General features: G+C 42.1%; 1 protein-coding gene across 4 annotated transcripts in view; it reads left to right on the top strand.

Annotated features, from left to right (window-relative positions):
• DSCAM (DS cell adhesion molecule) overlaps positions 1-19572 on the top strand; it is an 836160-nt gene that overhangs the window by 793956 nt on the left and 22632 nt on the right. For all 4 annotated transcript variants that reach the window (NR_073202.3, NM_001271534.3, NM_001389.5 and 1 more), the window contains 3 exons: positions 1096-1245; positions 8928-9125; positions 10530-10832. Coding sequence is in view for 3 of the 4 variants with exons in the window: in NM_001271534.3 (NP_001258463.1) it covers positions 1096-1245; positions 8928-9125; positions 10530-10832 (651 nt within the window). In the remaining variant the exon portion in view is untranslated. The remainder of the gene's footprint in view (positions 1-1095; positions 1246-8927; positions 9126-10529; positions 10833-19572) is intronic.

Below are 19572 nucleotides of genomic sequence, written 5' to 3'. Positions count from 1 at the left end.
TGAGAGGCTTTCCTTTCCTGCCAGAGACTGAGTAATTGGATTTTGTAAGGTTCATTCTGTTCAGAGCCTTTTTTGGGCACAGAAGTCGAGCTGTGTTGTTTACGACTTTCGCATCCCTGTTGCAGTGTCAGGGCAGGGCTGCAGTATGGTCCCTGCTGACTGATAAACTCTTAGCAACAGCATCCTGGGCTGCAATCTTTGAAAATTTATGAAAAATCTGTATATCCTAGCCAAAGTCTCCCTTGGAGTAAAAAAGCTTTTTAAAAAGTATGAAACATATCACAAGGTAGTAATGAGAATCCTGGCCCACCAAATAATGACCCAGCTCAAACAGCAGCTCCTGCTCCAAGCACTAAGATGCCCAGAACCCATCCAAACCCAGGCTCCTGCCTCGCTCACCTTCAAGTGCCCACGGCAGTAGGACTTGGGAAGTCTGACAAGTGAATCATGTAGGAGAAGTCAGTTAATGGATGTTCTAGAGTGCTTAAAGCTTACAGGAGGTGGGAAGAAAAGGAACATACCTTGAGTCCTTTAAAATAGAGCAATCAATAAGCTCTGAAGACTGGCATGTTTTCTTCTCTTTTATTTCCCCTCCAAACATTAGCCAAGTTCAGAATGAGAGCAAACCTCAGTAGAGAGAACTGTAGTGGCGATTTTCTAGTCCTGCAAACAGAGCTTCCCAGCAGCCAAAGGGACCTGTCTTCATTGACAGCCTCATCACTGGTGAGGGGGCTGGCATCGCAGATGATGTCTCAGAGAAGCTTTTGACAAACACATAAATCCAGAGTTCAAATCAATGTTAGCTTAATGAAAAGCCAAGCCCAAAGAGAAAAGAGAGCTCCTTCTCTGCATAGTCATGGTTCTTCTTAGCTCATTGCTCCCAAAGCCAACCCCTAGGAAGAAGCTTCTATTCCTAGCACTCTAGAGTAATGCTAATTCAGTGCTTGAATTTTCAATCATTTTTGTCACTTTAGATGGGGCTATTATTGTGGTTGTCATTAACAATAACACAAGTGCCTCAGGAGAGAAAAGGCCAGGGAGTGGTTGGAAGGGAGATAAACGTGTTTGGCTTTCTGTGTTCCTGCCATCCTGTAGATGATCGCTCCACGGTTCTGTTGACGGATGCTGACTTTGGAGAGGCAGCTAAGCAGAAGTCCCTGACGGTCACTCACACGGTCCATTACCAATCGGTGTCTCAGGCCACTGGGCCCTTAGTGGATGTTTCAGACGCTCGGCCGGGAACGAGTGAGTGGTCAACAATGCTTAAAATGTGTGGGTGTTAACAATGCTGAAAACATAGTAATGTTCTTTCTCTCTCAAATGAAAATGTGTGGCTTTTCATACCTATGCCTGAGAAACAAATGGGTATAATAACATCCCTAATTGGGATAATGAGCTGTTATTGATGGATCTTGGCTATTATTATGTCAGTTGAATTACTGTTAGTATTGGTTACTATAAAAAGTGCTAGAAATTTCAGGTACATGTATTTATTTTTTTAATTTAAGCAACACAGAAAAGGAAAAAAGTAATCTACTTTAGTGTGTATCTGCTGTATGCCAGTATTGGGATAGAACGATGATGTCATGCACGTTATCTTTGCAACAATCCTGTAAGATACCTACTCGTGAAGCAGGTATCATAGCCTCTATTCTGCAGATGAGAAAACTGCAGCCTCAGATAAATTATGCAAACAGTATAAAGTTGCACACATAAGTAGTAAAACCAAGATTCAGAAACAGACCCATCTATCCCCAAAGCTTATGCTTTTGCCCCTGAACACACTGTTTGAGAAAAATTATAATTCTAGTTAATGTGAAGATTATGTTGGATTTTGTTATTAATATTTGCATCCATAATATATGGAAATTAATTACTGCAATGAAGGTGAATCCCCTAATATGTATCTAGAGCTTATTAATTAGATACTCTTATTTCTTCATAATTGGAATCGTTCCTAAATCTCTTTAAAGACTGAGAAATTGATGTCCTGATTATTATCATTTTGGAAACTTTGACGTCTAGCTTTCAAATCTCTAATCAATTTCTTTGCAAAAATTTACATTCTTAGAATAGTGTGTTATTATTAGAAAAATAACTATTATAATGTTAAAAGCTATTCTTCATAAATCCTAGCTTGGGAAGCATTTGCGAAATGCAGTGAGCTTTATGAAGTAAACCCATTGCCTACGAAATAACATTGTAATATACAGAAAACAGTTTCAGCAGGCATTGAAATTCATTTAAAAAATGTTTTCAAGAATATTCTACATTCTAAAGAAGTCTTTTACCTCTTCCTTTTGTCTAATCTTCTTACCGCCTTTCTTCTTTGATCACATTAATACATTCTGAAGACATAAACGGGATATGAGTGGGAATTAGCTTTGCAAAGGGGTGTGTGCCAGAGCCTTGCTCTTAAAAAATGATCCAGACTGGGCGCAGTGGCTCAATCCCAGCACTTTGGGAGGCCGAGGCGGTCGGATCACGAGGTCAGGAGATTGAGACCATCCTGGCTAACATGGTGAAACCTCGTCTCTACTAAAAATAAGAAAAATTAGCCGGCCTGGTGGCGGGCACCTGTAGTCCCAGCTACTCAGAAGGCCGAGGCAGGAGAATGGCGTGAACCTGGGAGGCAGAGCTTGCAGTGAGCTGAGATCACGCCACTGCACTCCAGCCTGGACGACAGAGCGAGACTCTGTCTCCAAAAAAAAAAAAGATTCAAGGGCTTTGACATCTCTTCAGCCGTTGGCTTCTCCCTTGTGAACTGCCTGGTGTGGCTTGCTGCTACTCCAAGACACTGCTCCAATGGGTTTAAGAGCCACTTTTTTGCTGCTAAATCAGAAAAAGTTACAGATATTGAAAGGATTAGATTTTTAGAGTGATGCAGCATTGGCTTCAGCATTCTGTTGGAAACGGTGGCAGAAGAGCAGGCAAAAGAGACAACAGAGCAGATGCCCTGGGTCTCGTTCTCCACCTTTACATGCATCAGAATCACCTGGTGCCTATTTAAATATCAATTCCAGGCCTCCACCCAGAGATTCTGGCCTAGGAATCCGCATGGTAACAGACACCCTGGGTGATTCTGATGCTGGCCGTTTGGACCCCACATTGAGAAACACTGCCCCAAGGGTTAGAAATGTTTCCTGCATGTAACGCAGCAGGGCAGGACCCCTCCGGCACATCAGTTCTTCCTGCCAGGTAAAAAGCAACATGCATTTCTGCTTCCCTGTCAATGGTCAGCTAGCAGCCGAGAATGCATAAAGCTAGTCATAAATAGTTAAGACAGGAGAAGCAGCAGCCCAAAACAAAAGCACTGGCAACCTTCCAGCTTCATGGTCAGCCCCAGAATAATGGGGAAGTTGATTTGTTGGCATGTAAAATATCAACAGAGACATGAACCGGAGTCACAGCAGATACTGTAAACCAGTGGTCAGCGAGTGCCAGGCAGGACGCACATGGGAGGGACGTGTGTGTATCTCATGGCTATAAAGTTGGAAGCAGGGCTGGGAATGTTAATGCGTTCATTCAGCACTCAAAAGTATTTATTCAGGTTTCACTTTACGTATATGGCTCAGTGCTGTATGATGGAGATACACCATGAGTAAGATGCAAAAAGACATTCATTTCATCCTAGTCAGGGGGCAGACATTAGACATGGAACTAAAGTAGTTTTCATTTCTCAGTAAGTCCTAGACAGAAAGAGAATGAAGCCATGGTGAGTCAGCGGGCGTGTGGAGCAGTGGGAGGGGCTCTCTTGGGTCCAAGTCATTCAGGAGGACTTCCAGTGAGGGGAAGACATGAAACAAGATCAGAGTCACAGCAGGAGCAGAGGGGGCAGCAGGGAAAAGCTCCCAAGGTTCCCCGCATGATGAGGATGGAAGTGGCACTGGAGCACAGTGAAAGGCAGGGAAAAGGTGAGACAGAGAAACAGCTGTCCTCATCTTTCAGGGTCCCCTAAGCCAGTGCCTGGCAGGTGCATTTCATTCTGAGAGTGCTGAGATGCTGTCCCTGGGGCTTAGCCTGATGATCACAGGGAAACACTATAGCTTATAGAACAATGTTTCTGTCCTTTGTGCTGAATTTCACTAAATGATGTTTACCAACATCAAGCAAATCTACTCAAATGCATGCATCAGTCTCTGGTTCCCCCCTCACTCTCCAAATTGAGCGTATTAATTTAGCATTTGCAGAACCCTCTGTATTAGTAAAAGATCTGCTGGATCATTTTTTTCATTAAATCTTCCTCAAAAACCACAGTGTGAGGGACTGACAACACTCCGTGTTTTATTTAGAGTTAGAAATGGTAGGTGACTGGCCCCACAGTGGGTTCAAGAGTCTGAAACCCATGAACTTTCTGAAGCACAGTCCCCCACTAGCTTCTTGCACCAGAGCTTCTCACCTCTGCCCAGGTGTTTATACCTCTGTGAATTCCATGGAGCCGGTTCTTCTCACCACAGTTTGGCATACTTGCAGAGAATCATTTGTATTCTCTATTTTCTCAGCTAGAGAACACATCGTGATTCTATTTTGTATGTTAGGACTGTGTTGTCATTGCAAGAATTCTTTATTTTTAAGAAAAGCATCTAAAACATGTTGCTTGCATACCAGAATGACTGCATTGTAGAAGTTATGTTTCTAGGCATTTTATTAGTTTGCCAGAGGGTTGCAACAGATTCTTATGAGGATGGAAGAAATCATAACAATTTGCTATTTATCTCTGTCAGTAGTGAAAACACATCCCTTGGCTGGTTCTGCTGCACTGATTACTTCTCTGTCTTTCCTGTGGATTATAATACACTGGAAAACTAGGACTCTATCCATGTCCTCATCCCCATACCAGCCACAGTGTCTGACACAGGCATGTAGTGGATAAATACCAATCAGCCATCAAGTTCTGAGATCAGAACAATGGGAATGGAAAAGAAAAGACATTGAGTCATGTTTGCTGCATAGGAATCATGGGCACGGCCAGCTGTGCCTGTGCCATGTGCCCGGAGCACTTGGGCACATTAATCTCATTTAAACTTCAGGACAGCTCTTAACGTGGGTGATGACATCACCTAGTCTCAGAGACTAGGGGATTAGTCAGGTCTGTCTGACAAGGTCACTTGGCCAGCGACACAGCCAGGGAGTAGTGAATATGAACTTCCAGCCCAGGCAGCCTAATTCCAAAGCTCTCACTCTCAGTCATTCTACATGGCCTTTAGGTAGAGATACTACATATAGAATATGTAGAGACTAAAGAATAGACTTCACATGTACGCACATTCAATGACAAGAGCTTACAACATGGACTTGAATCTTTATTGCTGAGACTTTGAAAGAAAAAATGCCCTCTGTTACCCAGGATGGGACTAGCAGTGGCCCTGAGGGAAATACCTGGGGTGGGTGAGGTGCATCCAGTGGTCCAGGATGTAATAAGTGCTAGATAAATATTTTTTAGTTACATGAGGGAGTGTTCAGATCTCCCAGTTTCATCCTCTCTCTGAGACAACTAGTAAATTCGTTATGTAAAGCTGGACCTCCACAACTGCAAGATATGGAAACCAATGGCACAGATGAAAGCAGATTAATACCATGATCACAGTACGCATGACATGTTCTGTAACCTATTATATTATCTACAAAATCCTCTCTCATCCCAAACTCAGGATAATTAAAATAATCTGATTCAATGGGCAGAAGCTTAATTAGGGTTCAAACCCCATGTTGAAAGGCCATGAGCTATTTATATCCTGTGCCCTCCAACTCATGGGCTGCTGAGCAGGCATGAAGCTTAATCACCGAGTTTTATTTATATTAGAATGCTGGGAGCCTAACAAAATACTTTCCATGAAGGAGCAGTAAATCCCAGCGTTTATTTGCTCAGTAGATGAGCTAGTAAGTTACACAAAAAAGGCTTCCTGTGGAATCCAAGTAAAAATTATATTTTAGCTGCTATCTTAGTCATTATCATACAGCAGAGTTCAGTTCAGGTACAAAACAATGGCTCCAAAAACCAAATTATTAAAAAATAAATGTGTCAAATACCCCAGTATTCTACATACTGAGGCAATTTTGACCCTAGGATGCCTGCCTAGCGCAGTACAGAACTGAGGGCTGTGGTTTAAGGAAACTAATATCATGACCTAAATTTTCAACATTATCAGGCCACCAGTAAAACTGTCCTCATCTAGAAAAAAAGAGATTATGAACAAAATTAACTTGAAAAGAGACCAGGCTTTGAATCAAGGCTGCATGTGCGACTTTCCCATGGAATTTTCCAAGTAGGGTGATCTCAATGAGGAAAGGGGCTATGACAGTGAAGATCTTTGCCCCACCATTGGAGAGTGAGCTCAAGCAGAAGAAATGAGGGTCAAGGTTTGGGGGATTGGAGGAAATGACTGTATCCTTGAAGTGGGACTAGCAAACTATACCCCCCAACCACCCCCCAACTTCCATGCCAGAAGTAAACCTGCTCAGAATGAGCTACAACAGTTGTAGTTGCAAGAAACTTAAAGAAGAATAAAAATGAGAATTTTCAAAACTTATGTAAGGGACTGGGTAATTTTCTGGAAAAGACTCATTAGCATTTAAATAACAAGCTTCACTTATTTAAGCTCCACTTATCAAGTCGATAGTGCCTGGAAGACATTTAGCCTCTTCCCCATCATAATGTTTTTCTGTCTTTTTGAGGGCCTCTTTCCTAGCATTTCGGTGAAGAAACCCAATTATCATTCATACCTGGTTGTGTAGAGCTCCAACATAACTCATTTACATTCTCATCAAGGACAAAAAAAATCTAATGAAGTCTTCCGTGGAATTGTGCAAGTAAGGGATGAAATGTGTCTTAAAATCAATGCCCCAGAGAATATTTACCAAGATTGAGTATTCTGATGATTTAGGAGATCTTAAAATCTATCTCTTTGGCTGCCATCTTAACGCACCTCTCCAGCGACACAGAATGATAGATTAGATTCAAAGTCGAATTAACTAGAAACTTGCAGTGAGGAAATCTCCCGTTTAAAAACAAAGTCATTGCACCTTCCCAGTGTTAGCCTTTCACATTCCAACATGGAATTATAAGCAAGCCAAGGTCATGTAGACACAGCACTAGGAAACTTAGACACTCAGGATTTGGCCATATGTGGTCAAGTAACAGGCGTTATCTGAACTGAAAAGGCAGAAGGTTTGGGTTATAGTTTTATCACGTAACAGCTATGTCACTTCTCTCTGAGCTTCCATTGCCTTCATAAAGTGACCCTAGGTCTATGAATTCCTTCAGAAAACTCTGTATGTCAGGGATTATTGTAGGCTCTATGAATGGATCCACAGAGGGATACCATTGCCCCTGCCCTGGAGACACTGCCAGGCTCATGAAAGCACATAAATAAATCGGTGCAATAACATTACAGGCCGGCCCTGTCAGTTTTGCTCCTTTGAAACTTCGTGAGAGCCCAACAGTGAATACAGTCTGCTGGGTTTAGAAGTGGCCAGACCATACTGAAATATAACTGTATCAAACTGCTCTTTGAGAAGCAGAGAATTCAAAGGTAGAAAAGACCCATCTAGGACCTTAAGCTGTCTCCAGGCTGGAGCCCCAGAAAAATCATTCCAGGTAACTGAACCTCTCTCATTTTCCACAGAATTCCAGAAGAGGCGATGTTGTAGCCCATTCTGGTACCTGACAGTCTCTGCTGGTGGAACATCCTTCTTCTTACCTCACCAAAGGGTTGAGCTAAGAACTCCGTCCACCCCATAGACTTGCTGCCTTTGGTTCCAGATTTAGAGAAAATGAAACCCATCTGGCACCAGCTTAACCCTTTGTTCTCCATATTAAATAACCCAAGTTGTCTCTGTTAAAGTTAGGACAATTCTATTGAAGAGATGTGCTATCATAGGCAAGGCCTTAAGGAGAGTTGGGACATAAAAATATGGTCCCTCTGCTTTAGGAGCTTTCAACTTAATGAATAAAACAGTCATCATTAAAACAATGAGTAGTAATATGAGAAACAAAAATACAGGCAACATCTGTATTAATTTCCTAGAGCTGTTTTAACGTAGTACCACCAAATGGGTGGCTTCACAGCACAGAAATGTATTTGCTTGCAGCTGTAGCACTCCAGTCTCCACCTGCATCATCCCATGGCCCTCTCCCCTCCTGTGTCTGTGTCCTCTTCTTAAAAGGACACCAGTCACAGTGGATTAAGGGCCAACCCTATTCCAATATGACCTTGTCTTAGCTAATTTCATCTGTGATGACCTTATTTCCAAACCAGATCACACATTCTGAGGTCCTGGGGGTTAGGACATGAACATGTCTTTTGGGGGGACGTGATTCACGCATAACAACACCTAAGGATGTAGAAAGGAGGTCATGTTAGAACACACTGGGCTGAGCTTCCTTGTTTTACAGAATATGACGATGCCCAGGAAGTTTAAATGATGTGCATCGGGTCATAACATTATTTTTTGTACTATCATCCATTTAATTGCAGTTGCAAACATCGTAACCAAAGTACCTCTCTCAAGTCATTCTCTAGCACAGTAATTGGTTTCATTTTCTTTATAATCTTCATCACTGTTTGAAATTTTCTTGTTTTGTCCTGTAATTGTTGTCAGTCTCCCCTCATTCCATTTCTAGCTTTTAATGTTAGAAGGGTCATAACATTATTAAAGGCCAAGAGCAAGACTCAAATATGTAACTTCTGAATCCAAGTAGGGTGTTCTTTTCCCTGCAGGGCTGATTAAACACGTAAGTATCAGATGAAGGTTTCAAGCCATAAAGGAAAGGGAAAGTATCCTCTGCACAGGAGAAGTCAAGGAAGTTTTCCTGGAGGGCGTGGGCGAGTCGGCAGTGCTGGGTGGGTGGCACTGACCTCTACGCTTGCTCTCAGCTGACCACACTCCTGCAGACAAAGGCAGACATGATTCTTGGCTCTTCACAGATCCCACCACCAGGAGGAATGCCAAGGCTGGGCCCACAGCGAGAAACCGCTATGCCAGCCAGTGGACCCTCAACCGACCCCACCCCACCATCTCAGCACACACCCTCACCACAGACTGGAGGCTGCCAACACCCAGGGCTGCAGGATCAGTAGACAAAGAGAGCGACAGTTACAGCGTCAGCCCCTCGCAAGACACAGGTAGGCCCTGACGCTGCCTCCTCCGTCCCTGGGGACCAGCACGGCCCCCGCACCTTGAGCTTCATGGGCTCCTTGGGGAGGGGAGAGAGGGCTTCCTCCCTCTTACTTATGTTCTTTTGAAGGTCACTTTCAAATTGTTACGCGGTTTATCTAACAGTTACTAATACAACTGCACAGCCTTTACTCCACACAGGGCAAAACAGAGCCAAACTGCATCTATTCTGCAGGTGTCCTGAATCTTAGACCCAAGCTTATTTCTCCATTTAGTTCCTACCCCACTGGGAGAAATAGAGACATTTTTAAATTTTCACCCCCGTGATTGCAGTAATTGCTGATTACACTCTGAGGGCGTCTGACCCATTACCATCTCCAAGATTAAGACACAGCACTTGAAGTTACATGATGAGGTCATAGCACCCTCTATAGGGAACACAGGCTGATCCGTTTGACAATTAAACAGGGGTTGGTTATAAGGTAAGTCATCCAGTCTATGCCATCAACCACCAAGTTTTCACTTCAGAGAGAAGACAGGCCCTAAGAATAGCACCGGGTTGCCCACCACCCCCTCTTAAATTTTGAAAAGAAATTACATCTGAATCTAATAGCTGTAGGAAATTTTAATACTCATTTTTCTTTTGTTCTTGATGATATACTTCAAAAACAGTGTTCCAGAGGAGGATCATCGCCATGTGAATTTATTTTTAAGGCTGTGATTTCTCTTAGAAGAGTCTCAGAGTTCCACACAGAGGAGACCCTAAAACTTTTTAGTGCATTTGAAACGCAGACATCTCCCTGACCAAGATGGCGTGGCCCAGCTCAAAGGCATGTGGGCACCAGTTTTTGTCCTGATGGTTTTCTAGTCCCCATAAAGGGTAATCACAACAGAAGACGCATCCCAGGGGTCGGGGGCCATTCTGGCTTGTGGCCAATTTCCGTGCAACATGACATCTTTATTTCTAAATATCATCACATCTTCCTTCCTGAGCTGAGGCCCCAGAAGCTGAACTGCAGCTCAAATCATTCATGCCAATTAAAGAGTCTCTAGGGCATAGATCCATTTGCAGGTTGGAGCAGAGAGGGGGCTGCTGCCTGGCTCCTACTGTTTTCACTAAAAGCAGGATTTTTTTTAAAGGGAAGGCGTTATTTATTTATGGAAATGTCCCAAGCTGGGACATCTGACTACAGCAATTTGGTTGCAACAAAGCTTCCCTTAACCGGATCTGCTGAGACTTGTGAAGCTGGCCTCAGAGTGCCTAAGGCAGGAGCCTCCGCCAAGGAGCCAGAACTCCTACCAGGTCCCACCATGATCTGGAAGAAAACAGCCCCAAGCCAGGAAGGGCCATGCCGTTGGTTCAGACTTCTGATGGTGAGTCGTCCGTCTTGTTTTTCTCTTTCCTGGTGTAGATCGAGCAAGAAGCAGCATGGTCTCCACAGAAAGTGCCTCCTCCACTTACGAAGAACTGGCCAGGGCCTACGAACACGCCAAGATGGAAGAGCAACTGAGGCACGCCAAGTTCACCATCACGGAGTGCTTCATATCAGACACGTCATCGGAGCAGTTGACGGCAGGGACAAATGAGTACACGGACAGTCTGACCTCCAGCACCCCTTCCGAATCGGGAATCTGCAGGTTCACTGCATCTCCCCCCAAACCTCAGGATGGAGGAAGAGTAATGAATATGGCAGTTCCAAAGGCACATCGGCCAGGTAGGTGAGCAAGGCCACCTGGGGGCCGTCGCTTAGGGAAGTGCACCTTCCTGGTCCTCCCTCATCTGCTGTGAAAGCCCTTCTCAGTGTTCAGACCAAATGGGTGCTCTGTTTATGGATGGCTGCATAACAAACCATCCCAAAGTTCACTGGATTAAAACTACAGCAGTCACTTACTTTGTTTATGAATCTGAAATTTGGGCGGGACCTAGTGAGGGTACCATGCTGCAGAGGCTCTCCTGGGGCTGGGGATCCACTTCCAAAGTGGCTCACCGACCTGGCTGTGTTCTCCCTGTGCTGGCCTCTCCACAAGGTGCTTTAGCTTCCTCACAGCATGGTGGCTGGGTTCTAGCAGCAAATGGTCCAAGATACAGTCTGTGGAAATAGCCAGTTTCCTTAGGTTGGGCCTGGAAACTGACACAGCTATCATTTCTGTCATATTCTATTGGGCAAGCAGTCACAGAGCCCAAGAAACCCTGATTCCAGAGAAAGAGGCCCCCACTGCTTGATGAGAAGACTGTCAAAAATGTGAGGGCTGTATTTTAAAACTGCCACACTGAGGGCTTCTGAAAGGGGAGAGGTCTTACTATATAGTCAGTGTTTGGGACTTGGCCTCACTGAATTACACAAGGTGATGGTAACTGGCTAACATTAAGTCAGCCAGCAGTTTGGTCTTCAACTTGAACACCTGTGAATCGTCCGGGTTGTGAAAGCTGCAAATTTTGAGGTCAGCAAGGCATGGCAGATAATAGAATGCAGAGGCTAGAGAACAGGGTCAAAGGAGCGAGGCGGACATGGGCCATTTCAGGGTTCACTACTGTCTAAAAGAAAAGACTCTAGCAAGGCCCTGCCAACTGATCGCAAGTGGAAATGGGGTCTTAGTATGGACTTGTGTTTTAAGAGAAGCCGGAAAACTTGGTTTTATATGGAAATTCACAGCTTTTTAGTGTTGGCTTGGATATTTGTAAACCATTGTACAGGGCAAATAAAACCCATCTTTAGGTGGAATCCAACCTATGGCAGCCAAGTGTAGTTCTCATCTGAAGAACCACTTTTTCTTTTTCACCCTGAAATAGTTGCCTGTAGACTTTCCTTCACAGACTGATCTATCCAATCTTATTGAATCCAGTTTTGTTTCTCATTTTACCCATTTTCTACACCACTGTTCTAGTTCCATTTCAAAAAGTATCTTCACTTTTGAATTACTACAATTCCCTTGGGTTTTATGGGACAAGGCCTAGCTGAAATGAGCTTTATAAATGCATAAAAATATATAAAATAAGAATAGTTTATCCAGCAAATAATCTTCCATACCAGCTCAAGATTCATGCCAGCATCCAATAAAGAATGATGGCTTCCTTTATTTTCATTCTGTCTACCTCCTTAGGGGAAAAGACAAGCTGTTATTTGTGGGTGTTTTTATTTCAACTATTTTTTTTTTTTCGTGTTGTTGGCATTTATTTGCAAGGCAAATGGAGAAAAATGCAGGATAAATGCCATGACTTTCTGCAGCTCTTCAGCCTGAAGGTGAGGAGGACTGGAGAGAAGACCATAAGCCTGTGGGCATGTTGTATAGGCGTTCTCAGCTTCAGTTCCTGCATCTGTAAAATGGGAATGGCGTTGGTGACTGTGTACTGGGCTTCTGTTAGATGCACATAGCATTATACAGGTGAAGGGGTCAGCAGAGGAGGCACTCAGCCATGTTAGCCATTGTTTCTGGCACTGGGTTGCTAGAATCCCCACTGTGACTCCAGCTGTACTGCTGACCTCCTCTTCCTTCTTGCTTTTATTTTTCTCCAGTGACCACTGAAGTCCTAGCAGGTACCCACCTCAATTGTGTGTCACCCAGTTAAGTACTTTATGTTTCCACCTGAGATAGCATGCCGTCATTTTCCCTTTGTGTGTGATTTAGGGCACAGAATGAGCTTCTAGGTTAAAAGACTGTCCTATTTGTGCAGGCCTTTACATAATTACAGGGTTGAAGCTTGTTTTTGATGGCACGCTGCTCATATTGTTGGATTGTTTCTTAAAAATTTGACCTTTGCTCATGATATTGTGACCTGGACCCATTAGAGCAATGGAAGATCATAGCTAAGTTACTATTGTCTTCATAGACTATTCAGAGTAAAATGATTTTATAAATATAGGTTTGAATAATCTCTTAAATCAATGCAAGTTCAAATGTCCACAAACTTTGTTTTGTCTACCCTAGATGACTGCATTATTACTGAACATCTGATATGCTTTAGAAAATATTTCAGCCTTTGGAAACCTTTCCGTCGCTCCTTTATAATTCAACTAAATTCAACATTGGGCACAAAATACAAGGTTGCAGTTTACTATTCTGCTAACTAGAGCTTGTGATACAATTAGCAGCTCCTAGAGCTGTGCTTTTACATCACATTCTTTCCCTATATGCCCTCTTCACGCTAGATGATATTCGTCATGTCTGTTTCTGTTTATAGTCTTCCAAATCTCTCAATTTCTTCCTCCTCAACTTTAGAGCTTCTTTTCTGATGGTCCTTTTTTTCTCTTTCCCTTTTTATTTTTTCTGTCTTCAGTACAAATAGTTATGATCCCCAGACTTTGAAATTCTCTGCAAATTGCCATCAAGTTACATGAATTTGGCCAGACTGTGGCTTCAGAAAAATAGGAAATATGTCTTAGTTATCTTCATACTTCCTTCTCAAGGTCTAGCAGATACCTGATAGCCAAGTAGTTATCATGCAAGAATTATTTTTAAATGAATTAATAGTATTGAATACTCAATACTACATACTTAAAACTCTCTCTCTATACATAAATATATATATCTCCTGTGTGTGTTTATAATATACACATATATGGCCAGACTGTGTCTGGCACATTAGTAGATGCTTCATAAACCTTACTGTATGAATGAATATATCATGCTTGTGACAACAAAACCAACTGGTTAAATTGGTTAAAATATTTCAATTAATAGAAATTATAGTCAAATAAATACAAAAGGACATTTAAATCTACTCCAACTTTCAGTAGCTTTAATCAAAGTGACTTATTTTCCATTCTTTTTTTTTTTGATTTTTATTTCATCTGCATAATTTAATCAGTTTTTCCTTCACATATTCAAAAACCTACATTGGTATTTTTTTCTGACACGTTTCCCCTGTTAGACTTTAGTTTTTCTTAGTTCATATTCTTTTTCTTTTCTTTTCTTTATTATTATACTTTAAGTTTCAGGGTACATGTGCATATTGTGCAGGTTAGTTACATATGTATACATGTGCCATTCTGGTGCGCTGCACCCACTAACTGGTCATCTAGCATTAGGTATATCTCCCAGTGCTATCCCTCCCCCCTCCCCCCACCCCACTACAGTCCCCAGAGTGTGATGTTCCCCTTCCTGTGTCCATGTGATCTCATTGTTCAATTCCCACCTATGAGTGAGAATATGCGGCGTTTGGTTTTTTGTTCTTGCGATAGTTTACTGAGAATGATGATTTCCAATTTCATCCATGTCCCTACAAAGGACATGAACTCATCATTTTTAATGGCTGCATAGTGTTCCATGGTGTATATGTGCCACATTTTCTTAATCCAGTCTATCATTGTTGGACATTTGGGTTGGTTCCAAGTCTTTGCTATTGTGAATAATGCCACAATAAACATATGTGTGCATGTGTCTTTATAGCAGCATGATTTATAGTCCTTTGGGTATATACCCAGTAATGGGATGGCTGGGTCAAATGGTATTTCTAGTTCTAGATCCCTGAGGAATCGCCACACTGACTTCCACAATGGTTGAACTAGTTTACAGTCCCACCAACAGTGTAAAAGTGTTCCTATTTCTCCACATCCTCTCCAGCACCTGTTGTTTCCTGACTTTTTAATGATTGCCATTCTAACTGGTGTGAGATGGTATCTCATTGTGGTTTTGATTTGCATTTCTCTGATGGCCAGTGATGGTGAGCATTTTTTCATGTGTTTTTGGCTGCATAAATGTCTTCTTTTGAGAAGTGTCTGTTCATGTCCTTCACCCACTTTTCGATGGGGTTGTTTGTTTTTATCTTGTAAATTTGTTTGAGTTCATTGTAGATTCTGGATATTAGCCCTTTGTCAGATGAGTAGGTTGCGAAAATTTTCTCCCATTTTGTAGGTTGCCTGTTCACTCTGATGGTAGTTTCTTTTGCTGTGCAGAAACTCTTTAGTTTAATTAGATCCCATTTGTCAATTTTGGCTTTTGTTGCCTTTGCTTTTGGTGTTTTAGACATGAAGTCCTTACCCATGCTTATGTCCTGAATGGTAATGCCTAGGTTTTCTTCTAGGGTTTTTATGGTTTTAGGTCTAACGTTTAAGTCTTTAATCCATCTTGAATTGATTTTTGTATAAGGTGTAAGGAAGGGATCCAGTTTCAGCTTTCTACATATGGCTAGCCAGTTTTCCCAGCACCATTTATTAAATAGGGAATCCTTTCCCCATTGCTTGTTTTTCTCAGGTTGGTCAAAGATCAGATAGTTGTAGATATGCAGCATTATTTCTGAGGGCTCTGTTCTGTTCCATTGTTCTATATCTGTGTTTTGGTACCAGTACCATGCTGTTTTGGTTACTGTAGCCTTGTAGTATAGTTTGAAGTCAGGTAGTGTGATGCCTCCAGCTTTTTTCTTTTGGCTTAGGATTGCCTTGGCAATGCGGGCTCTTTTTTGGTTCCATATGAACTTTAAAGTAGTTTCTTCCAATTCTGTGAAGAAAGGCATTGGTAGCTTGATGGGGATGGCATTGAATCTGTAAATTACCTTGGGCAGTATGGCCATTTTCACGATATTAATTCTTCCTACCCATGAGCATAGAATGTTCTTCCATTTGTTTGTATCCTCTTTTATTTCGTTGAGCAGTGGTTTGTAGTTCTCCTTGAAGAGGTCCTTCACATCCCTTGTAAGTTGGATTCCTAGGTATTTTATTCTCTTTGAAGCAATTGTGAATGGGAGTTCACTCATGATTTGGCTCTCTGTTTGTCTGTTATTGGTGTATAAGAATGCTTGTGACTTTTGTACATTGATTTTGTATCCTGAGACTTTGCTGAAGTTGCTTATCAGCTTAAGGAGATTTTGGGCTGAGACAATGGGGTTTTCTAGATATACAATCATGTCATCTGCAAACAGGGACAATTTGACTTCCTCTTTTCCTACTTGAATACCCTTTATTTCCTTCTCCTGCCTAATTGCCCTGGCCAGAACTTCCAACACTATGTTGAATAGGAGTGGTGAGAGAGGGCATCCCTGTCTTGTGCCAGTTTTCAAGGGAATGCTTCCAGTTTTTGCCCATTCAGTATGATATTGGCTGTGGGTTTGTCATAGATAGCTCTTATTATTTTGAAATACGTCCCATCAATACCTAATTTATTAAGAGTTTTTAGCATGAAGGGTTGTTGAATTTTGTCAAAGGCCCTTTCTGCATCTATGCAGATAATCATGTGGTTTTTGTCTTTGGCTCTGTTTATATGCTGGATTACATTTATTGATATGTGTATATTGAACCAGCCTTGCATCCCAGGGATGAAGCCCACTTGATCATGGTGGATAAGCTTTTTGATGTGCTGCTGGATTCGGTCTGCCAGTATTTTATTGAGGGTTTTTGCATCAATGTTCATCAAGGATATTGGTCTAAAATTCTCTTTTTTGGTTGTGTCTCTGCCTGGCTTTGGTATCAGAATGATGCTGGCCTCATAAAATGAGTTAGGGAGGATTCCCTCTTTTTCTATTGATTGGAATAGTTTCAGAAGGAATGGTACCAGTTCCTTCTTGTACCTCTGGTAGAATTCGGCTGTGAATCCATCTGGTCCTGGACTCTTTTTGGTTGGTAAGCTATTGATTATTGCCACAATTTCAGATCCTGTTATTGGTCTATTCAGAGATTCAACTTCTTCCTGGTTTAGTCTTGGGAGAGTGTATGTGTCGAGGAATTTATCCATTTCTTCTAGATTTTCTAGTTTATTTGCGTAGAGGTGTTTGTAGTATTCTCTGATGGTAGTTTGTATTTCTGTGGGATTGGTGGTGATGTCCCCTTTATCATTTTTTATTGCATCTATTTGATTCTTCTCTCTTTTTCTCTTTATTAGTCTTGCTAGCAGTCTATCTATTTTGTTGATCCTTTCAAAAAACCAGCTCCTGGATTCATTAATTTTTTGAAGGGTTTTTTGTGTCTCTATTTCCTTCAGTTCTGCTCTGATTTTAGTTATTTCTTGCCTTCTGCTAGCTTTTGAATGTGTTTGCTCTTGCTTTTCTAGTTCTTTTAATTGTGATGTTAGGGTGTCAATTTTGGATCTTTCCTGCTTTCTCTTGTGGGCATTTAGTGCTATAAATTTCCCTCTATACACTGCTTTGAATGCGTCCCAGAGATTCTGGTATGTTGTGTCTTTGTTCTCGTTGGTTTCAAAGAACATCTTTATTTCTAGCTTCATTTCGTTATGTACCCAGTAGTCATTCAGGAGCAGGTTGTTCAGTTTCCATGTAGTTGAGCGGTTTTGAGTGAGATTCTTAATCCTGAGTTCTAGTTTGATTGCACTGTGGTCTGAGAGATAGTTTGTTATAATTTCTGTTCTTTTACATTTGCTGAGGAGAGCTTTACTTCCAAGTATGTGGTCAATTTTGGAATACGTGTGGTGTGGTGCTGAAAAAAATGTGTATTCTGTTGATTTGGGGTGGAGAGTTCTGTAGATGTCTATTAGGTCCACTTGGTGCAGAGCTGAGTTCAATTCCTGGGTATCCTTGTTGACTTTCTGTCTCGTTGATCTGTCTAATGTTGACAGTGGGGTGTTAAAGTCTCCCATTATTAATGTGTGGGAGTCTAAGTCTCTTTGTAGGTCACTCAGGACTTGCTTTATGAATCTGGGTGCTCCTGTATTGGGTGCATATATATTTAGGATAGTTAGCTCTTCTTGTTGAATTGATCCCTTTACCATTATGTAATGGCCTTCTTTGTCTCTTTTGATCTTTGTTGGTTTGAAGTCTGTTTTATCTGAGACTAGGATTGCAACCCCTGCCTTTTTTTGTTTTCCATTTGCTTGGTAGATCTTCCTCCATCCTTTTATTTTGAGCCTATGTGTGTCTCTGCACGTGAGATGGGTTTCCTGAATACAGCACACTGATGGGTCTTGACTCTTTATCCAATTTGCCAGACTGTGTCTTTTAATTGGAGCATTTAGTCCATTTACATGTAAAGTTAATATTGTTATGTGTGTATTTGATCCTGTCATTATGATGTTAGCTGGTTATTTTGCTCGTTAGTTGATGCAGTTTCTTCCTAGCCTCGACAGTCTTTACAATTTGGCATGTTTTTGCAGTGACTGGTACTGGTTGTTCCTTTCCATGTTTAGTGCTTCCTTTAGGAGCTCTTTTAGGGCCGGCCTGGTGGTGACAAAATCTCTCAGCATTTGCTTGTCTGTAAAGTATTTTATTTCTCCTTCACTTATGAAGCTTAGTTTGGCTGGATATGAAATTCTGGGTTGAAAATTCTTTTCTTTAAGAATGTTGAATATTGGCCCCCACTCTCTTCTGGCTTGTAGAGTTTCTGCTGAGAGATCCACTCTTAGTCTGATAGGCTTTCCTTTGTGGGTAACCCAACCTTTCTCTCTGGCTGCCCTTAACATTTTTTCCTTCATTTCAACTTTGGTGAATCTGACAATTATGTGTCTTGGAGTTGCTCTTGTCAAGGAATATCTTTGTGGCATTCTCTGTATTTCCTGAATCTGAACTTTGGCCTGCCTTGCTAGATTGGGGAAGTTCTCCTGGATAATATCCTGCAGAGTGTTTTTCAACTTGGTTCCATTCTCCCCATCACTTTCAGGTACACCAATCAGACGTAGATTTGGTCTTTTCACATAGTCCCATATTTCTTGGAGGCTTTGCTCATTTCTTTTTATTCTTTTTTCTCTAAACTTCCCTTCTTGCTTCATTTCATTCATTTCATCTTCCATCACTGATACCCTTTCTTCCAGTTGATCGCATCGGCTCCTGAGGCTTCTGCATTCTTCACGTAGTTCTCGAGCCTTGGTTTTCAGCTCCATCAGCTCCTTTAAGCACTTCTGTGTATTAGTTATTCTAGTTATACATTCTTCTAAATTTTTTTCAAAGTTTTCAACATCTTTGCCTTTGGTTTGAATGTCCTCCTGTAGCTCAGAGTAATTTGATCGTCTGAAGCCTTCTTCTCTCAGCTTGTCATAGTCATTCTCTGTCCAGCTTTGTTCCGTTGCTGGTGAGGAACTGCATTCCTTTGGCAGAGGAGAGGCGCTCTGCTTTTTAGAGTTTCCAGTTTTTCCCCATCTTTGTGGTTTTATCTACTTTTGGTCTTTGATGATGGTGATGTACAGATGGGTTTTTGGTGTGGATGTCCTTTCTGTTTGTTAGTTTTCCTTCTAACAGACAGGACCCTCAGCTGCAGGTCTGTTGGAGTACCCTGCCCTGTGAGGTGTCAGTCTGCCCCTGCTGGGGGGTGCCTCCCAGTTAGGCTGCTCGGGGGTCCGGGGTCAGGGACCCACTTGAGGAGGCAGTCTGCCCTTCTCAGATGTCCAGCTGCGTACTGGGAGGACCACTGCTCTCTTCAAAGCTGTCAGACAGGGACATTTGAGTCTGCAGAGGTTACTGCTGTCTTTTTGTTTGTCTGTGCCCTGCCCCTAGAGGTGGAGCCTACAGAGGCAGGCAGGCAGGCCTCCTTGAGCTGTGGTGGGCTCCACCCAGTTCGAGCTTCCTGGCTGCTTTGTTTA

This window comes from Homo sapiens, chromosome 21, assembly GCF_000001405.40.
Source record: "Homo sapiens chromosome 21, GRCh38.p14 Primary Assembly".
Classification (NCBI taxonomy): domain Eukaryota; kingdom Metazoa; phylum Chordata; class Mammalia; order Primates; family Hominidae; genus Homo; species Homo sapiens.
Note: the sequence above shows the minus strand (reverse complement) of the source record. Positions and strands in the feature narration are given on the sequence as shown.